Genomic DNA, 5,999 nt, shown 5'->3' with positions numbered 1-5,999 from the left:
TGTGGCATGCTGTAAGCTCAGGTGTAGCCCTGAGACTCTTGTTTCTTCCCCAGACTGAGGGCAGCAGGGATAGGACCACTTCTGTAGCAGTAGCAGATAGGCTGTCAGATGCCTCCAGGAGCCTCTCCCCAGGGAAACTCAGGGCCACTACTAGTGGGTATGCTCAGCCGTGGGTGGGGCAATGTTTCGCCATCATGACCTGGGAGCCCTTCCTAGTGGAGTGGGGGATGGGGGTTCCCAGGGAAGAAGAACTACCATCCTTTCTGTATGGTAGCTGCGTTGTGCTGGAGGTGCCAGCATAGTGAGTAGGCCCTTTGTTCTTTCTCCAGCCTGAGCACTGTTAGGGCAGTAGCACTGCCACTGCAGTAGCAGAGGAATTGTAGGTTGACTCTGGGATTTCCTCTTTGGAGAAATGCTGGGCTGCCTCTGATTGAAGTGGTCAGGTGGGGACAGGGTGGTAGTGTTGAGTCCCAGGTCTAGTGGCCCTAACCAGTGAGGAGAAGTGAGGACCAGCACCTGCGTGGAGAATAGCCCGGCCAATTTCCATAAGGTAGGTGCTCTGTGCTGGGGTTCCATCACCTCCTGGCCCCTGTGGACTCTCCAGAGCCTGGAGACAGCAAGGGCCAGGGCTGCAAGATGGCAAAGATGGCAACCCGCCCCTCCCACTGGGAGCTCTGTCCAGGTTGTTGCAGAGCTGCTTCTGGCTCAATAGCCCCAGCAGGGTGTGGCTGGAGACCCTGGCTGGGAGGACCCACCCAGTGAGGAGATACAGGATCAGGAACCCATGTAACGAACAGTCTGGCCACTTTTCCTAGGGCTGCTGGAGTATGCTGAAGGTCTGCTCCAGTCCCTAGTCACCTTAGATTTTCCAGTACCTGAAGGTATCGACAGTGAAGGCTGTGAAACAACTAACGTGGCACCCTGCTTCTCCCTCTGGGAGCTCCATCCCAGGGAGATATGGACATGTTGCTGGCTGAAACGCACTGGAGGGGGTGGCTGGAGACCCCAGTCAGGAGGTCCCACCCAGTTAAAAGGAATGGGACTGGGGACCTCTGTAAAAAAGCAGTTGGTGGTTTTTTCATACAGCAGCTGTGCCGTGCTAGGGGTCTGCTCCAGCCCGCAGTCACCTTGCACTCTCCAAGTTCTGAAAGCCAGAACGGCTAAGGCTGCCAAAGAGCAAAGATGGCAGCCCACCCCTTCCTCTGGGAGCTTCACCCCAGGGAGGTTTGGAACTACTGCTGGCTGGAAAACACTGGTGGGGGTGGTCATAGACCTCAGACAGGAGATTCTGCCCAGTAAAGAGAAACAGAATCAGACCTGCATGAAAAAGCTGTTGGCCACCTCTCCAGAGCTGCTGCACATGCCAGAGGACCACTCCAGTCCCTAGTCTCCTCAGATTCCCCAGACCCCAAAGGCAACAACAGCTAAGGCTGTGAAATAGCAAAACCATAAGACTCCTTGAAGAAAATATAGAATATTTTTATGACCTTGTGGTAGGGAAATCTAACTGTAATAAGACCCAAAAAAGTTGCTAAGCCTAAATAAAAGATCAGTTAATTGGACCACATTAAATTAAGAACTTCTGTTCATCAAAACATACCATTAAGAGAGCGAAAAGGCAAGCAAGCATAAATGGAAAAGATTTTGTAACACATAACCAACAAAGACTTCATTGCCATAACATAAAAAAGATGTCTTACAAATCAGTAAGTAAAATATATACAACCTTATAGAAAAATCTGCAAGAATCACCAGTAGGCACTTCACAAAAGAGGATATTCAATTGCCCAATAAATATAGGAAAAGGAAGTCAGTCTCATTAGTAATCAGTGAAATGCAAAAATTGAAAGCAAATTGAAGTATACTGAAAGAGAACACTACCCAGAATGGCTACAATTAAAAGAAATGACCATAATAAGCTTTGGCAAAGATATGGAGCAAAAGAACTCTCATACACTACTGGTAGGGTTGAAAATTGGTATAATCCCCTTGGAGAATAGTTTGGCATGTCTCTCAAAACCAAGCATACATATCTGTTACCCGGCAATTCCACATGAACACGAAGAGACATGCTCAATAATGGTTATAGCAGCTTTGTTTGTGATAGTCCCAAACTGGAAACAACCCAAATGTCTATCAATAAAAGAGTGGTTAAATAATTTGTGCTGTATTTATAAAAAAGAATTTGAGGTGGGGTGCAGTAGCTCACGCCTATAATCCCAGCACTTTGGGAGGCCGAGGTGGGCAGATCACTTGAGGTCAGGAGTTTGAGGCCAACATGGCAAAACCCCATCTCTACTAAAAATAAAAAAAAATCAGCTGGGTATGGTGGTACATGCCTGCAGTCCCAGCTACTCAGGAGGCTGAGGCAGGGGAATTGCTTAAAGTGGGTGGTGGTGGGGTGGGGGAGGAGTGCAGAGAGGGCAGAGTTTGCAGTGAGCTGAGATCGCGCCACTGCACTCCAGCCTGGGTGACAAAGCGAGACTCTGTCTCAAAGACAAAAAAAAGGAATTTGATATAACAATGAAAATAGATGAAATCCAGCCATAATATATATAAATCTCATAAACATAACATTGATCAAAACAAGCCTGACACAAAAAGCATACTGTATGACTTCATTTTTTAATAATTCTAATAACTATAGTATGTGGAGATGCCGGATGAAATGATACAATTTAAAAATGCAAATAAGTAAAATTAAGCAATGCAAGTAAAATGAAGACATGCATAGTAGTATGTAGAGATGCCTGATTAAGTGATAAAATTCAGAAATGCAAATACTAGCCACAAAAATCTGGCCAGTAGTTATCACAGCGGGGGACAGGAGGGTGACCTGTAGCAGGCCTGAGGGGTCTTCTGGGACACTCTTCCATTTTTATTTGGGTGGTGGTTCTGTGGATGTTTGCTTTGTGGTAATTAATTGAGCTGTACATTTTTAAGTCACTTTCTGTTACATATGTCACATTCAACAATAAATACTTAGGAAACAAAAGAGAGATAGAGTTGGTGACACAGACCCTAGGAACTCCAGGGAGACTGCCTTCTAGGTTGAAATCAGTGCATTTGTTAGTGTTCTTTAGACCGAGCGGTGCCCATCAGAACAAAAGGAAAATAACCTGGAAACTTAGTGGAGGGTCCTCCCAGGCAAAAGTGTAGGTTGTCATGCAAATTAGATGTAAAACTAGCTAGATCTGCTTCATTGGAGGGTGGCAGGGCTGGTAATGAGCCAAACACAAAAATTTGTTTGTATGGCAGCTGCCTGAGAAGCCAGAATCAGGCCTGCAGAGGTTCTCTGGTGGTTTGGGAAGATGTGGCAGTAGAGGGGGCTAATCAAAATGGTAGTCTCCTTAGAGCCCAGTCCCACAGTTCCAGCCCAGGAGCTTCCCATGGGTCTGGCATTGGGAGCCAGAGTAAAGCTAAAGGAGAAGGTGCCTGAAGCCTCATGTAGGCACTGGGAAAATGATGCTTCCTCCTTCTATAGCAGAGGAGGATGCTGCTAACAGGAGCTAGTGGAGGCTCTAGGAGGAACCTGTGCCTGTGAAACAGGTTGAAGCTCCCATCTCCAAGGCATCCTGCCTGCCTTGCTGTTTGTGCTCCCTTTATGTCTTCTCTGGGTTCTTCTCTCAAACCTTTCAGGGAAATTGCACTCTGTTTAATTAGAACCTGAGTCTGGAGCTTCGTGTCCCATGCTGTCTTTGGGCCTGGGCAGGCTTTTGGGTATGCTGACTTCAGCAGCAGCTGACAGTCCAGTTCTATCTGAGACAGGAGTTGGCACTTGGCACTGGGCAGGGGCTTCTGGATGAAATGATTCCAGAAGCATTGTGCTTGGTCTGATGGTGAAGGTATTGTGTCTCCAGCATTAGACTGACCTGGGTTTGAAGCCAGGGTTGGCCACTTACTGACTGTGAGCTATGTGACCTTGGCAAATTACTACGAATGTGTAAGTTTTAAATAATAGTGCATTGAAAGCACTTAGTATGGTGCCTGGCACATATAAAGTGTTCAGTAAGCACTATTGTTTTATTATTTGTTTATCAGCAGCAGCAGCAGCAGCAGCATCCCGCCCAGATCCAAGAGATTACTGAGCCATCTTTTCAGTGGAAGCAAATAGGAAACGGACTTTGGAGAAAGGCACTCCTTACCTCCTTGTGGAGAAATGAAAGGGAGCCCTTTTAGGATGAGGCATAAAGCTTTAGCCCCTCTACACACTGGAGTTGGTGCATTGGCTGTCTTGAGTGTAGGTCCAGAGGCTGCAAGGAGGCACTTTGTCTTTCCTCTTGGCTGAGGCTGTTTTCTGCCCAGGGACAGGACACAGGTTGTCTCAAAAAGCAGGGGCATCCTTGCCCTGGCACTTTATTGCTGGATCTACGTAGATTTTTCCACAAGATCAGACAGTGCAAAACACCTAGAATAGGTGCCACCTCTGCTACTTTCTCTATGTGCCATGTTCATATTTTTTATTGCTGTCTCTAATGTCATTCCATCATGGTCTTAAGAAATGTCAGGTCAACATCTTTCCAAAGGAAGTATGTTGTAAAAGTGCCAGTTTGAGAGAATATGCTTAGAAGAAATTACCACCATTTCTCTCTCTGCCCAGGGTGAACATGAGGAGCTAAGTGTGAAGAAGCAAATAGTGGTAGAAGCACAAAGGCCACGTGCAAGTGAGATTGGGAAATGGAGGAAGCCAGGGCCAGAGCCAATGGCTGGTGTCCTCTGGGTAGCACCTGTTTGCATGGTTCACATAAAGAGACTGGAAGAGAAATCAGAGCAGAGGGATGTGGTAGATTTTCTGCAAAGGTGGCCACCAACAATCTCTCCCATCTCTGTATATGTGTGTCCCTCCCATAAGGAAGTAGATTCCATTTCCTCTTCTCTCAAATCTAGGCCAATCCCATGACTTGCTTTGACCAACAGAATGCAGCGGCAGCTATGCAGTGTAATTTCCAGTCCTAGGCCTTAAGGGGCCTTTCAGCTTCTGTTTTCACCCTTCTAGGATCCAGCCAACATGTAACAGTGGTCACCAGGCACCACTAAATTAGGAGAGGCTGTGTCGAAAGAGAATGGCTCAGCCAGGCCAAGCTGTTCCAGCAACCCCAGCTAAAGCACATGGCACATGTAAAGCCATTGAGAGTGATCCAGCTCAGCTCCCAGCTGAAGGCAGCTACACACATGACCCTGGCCAACCCCATATGGAGAAGAACCACCCAGCTGAGCCTTGCCAGCCCATGGACTCATGAAAAGGTATTAAATCCTTGTAATTTAAGCTGCTGAGTCTGGGGCTAGTTCCTTAGGCAGCAACAGATAACTGAAATAGCAATTGTTTAGAGACACTGAAAGGCAGCTCAGTTAACTTCACTGATTCCCCAGTTTCAGAACATAATGCTTATTGATCACTTGTACTTTTGATAAAACATCTATTTTAAGTAGACACTGTGGCCAGCTGGGCAAGTAGGAACTCAGTGCCAATAACTGAGACTTGTCACAGATTTGTAATCAGAGACGAGGTAAGGAAAGTGTGACCACACAATGATGAGCACTCTCATTTGTTGAGTGCCTCCCTCCCATGTGATGAGCCCTCTGCACCAGACTTTACCGTTGTCATTTCATTTTATCCTTTAGAGGTCGGACTTGTGAAGTGTCTTGTATTATAGATGAGGAGACATGGAGGCTTAGAAAGCAGAAGCATTTGCCCAGGGTTAAACCATTAATAAGCGGCATAGCAAGTATCTGAACCCAGAGCCATTTGGTTCCAGGATCTGAGCACTTGACCTCCAAGCTTTACTGCCTTTCATGAGCCAGAATGGTCAAACTGTTTCCTCTGATTGCAGGCTGGGGTTGGGAGGGTTGAGAACTTACAGAGCAGGCTCTTGGACAACTCCTTTCTCTCTCAGGAAGAGGTAAGTATTTTAATAGCCCAGAAGGTATGGCATGAAGGCAGGGATGAGTATCTCTTTTGGGGCCAATGAGGCACCTGGTGTCTGAGGACACAAGACTCT

At 46.7% G+C, this 5,999-nt stretch overlaps 1 annotated feature.

Annotated features, from left to right (window-relative positions):
* Positions 395-895: an enhancer, noted in NCBI's record as "H3K27ac hESC enhancer chr11:112541485-112541985 (GRCh37/hg19 assembly coordinates)". NCBI's record gives its function as "activates a minimal SCP1, AML or CMV promoter by ChIP-STARR-seq in primed H9 embryonic stem cells {active_cell/tissue: H9 hESC(primed)}" and the evidence as "EXISTENCE:reporter gene assay evidence [ECO:0000049][PMID:30033119]".

The sequence above is a fragment of the Homo sapiens genome, chromosome 11 (genome assembly GCF_000001405.40).
Source record: "Homo sapiens chromosome 11, GRCh38.p14 Primary Assembly".
NCBI classification, from domain to species: domain Eukaryota; kingdom Metazoa; phylum Chordata; class Mammalia; order Primates; family Hominidae; genus Homo; species Homo sapiens.
Note: the sequence above shows the minus strand (reverse complement) of the source record. Positions and strands in the feature narration are given on the sequence as shown.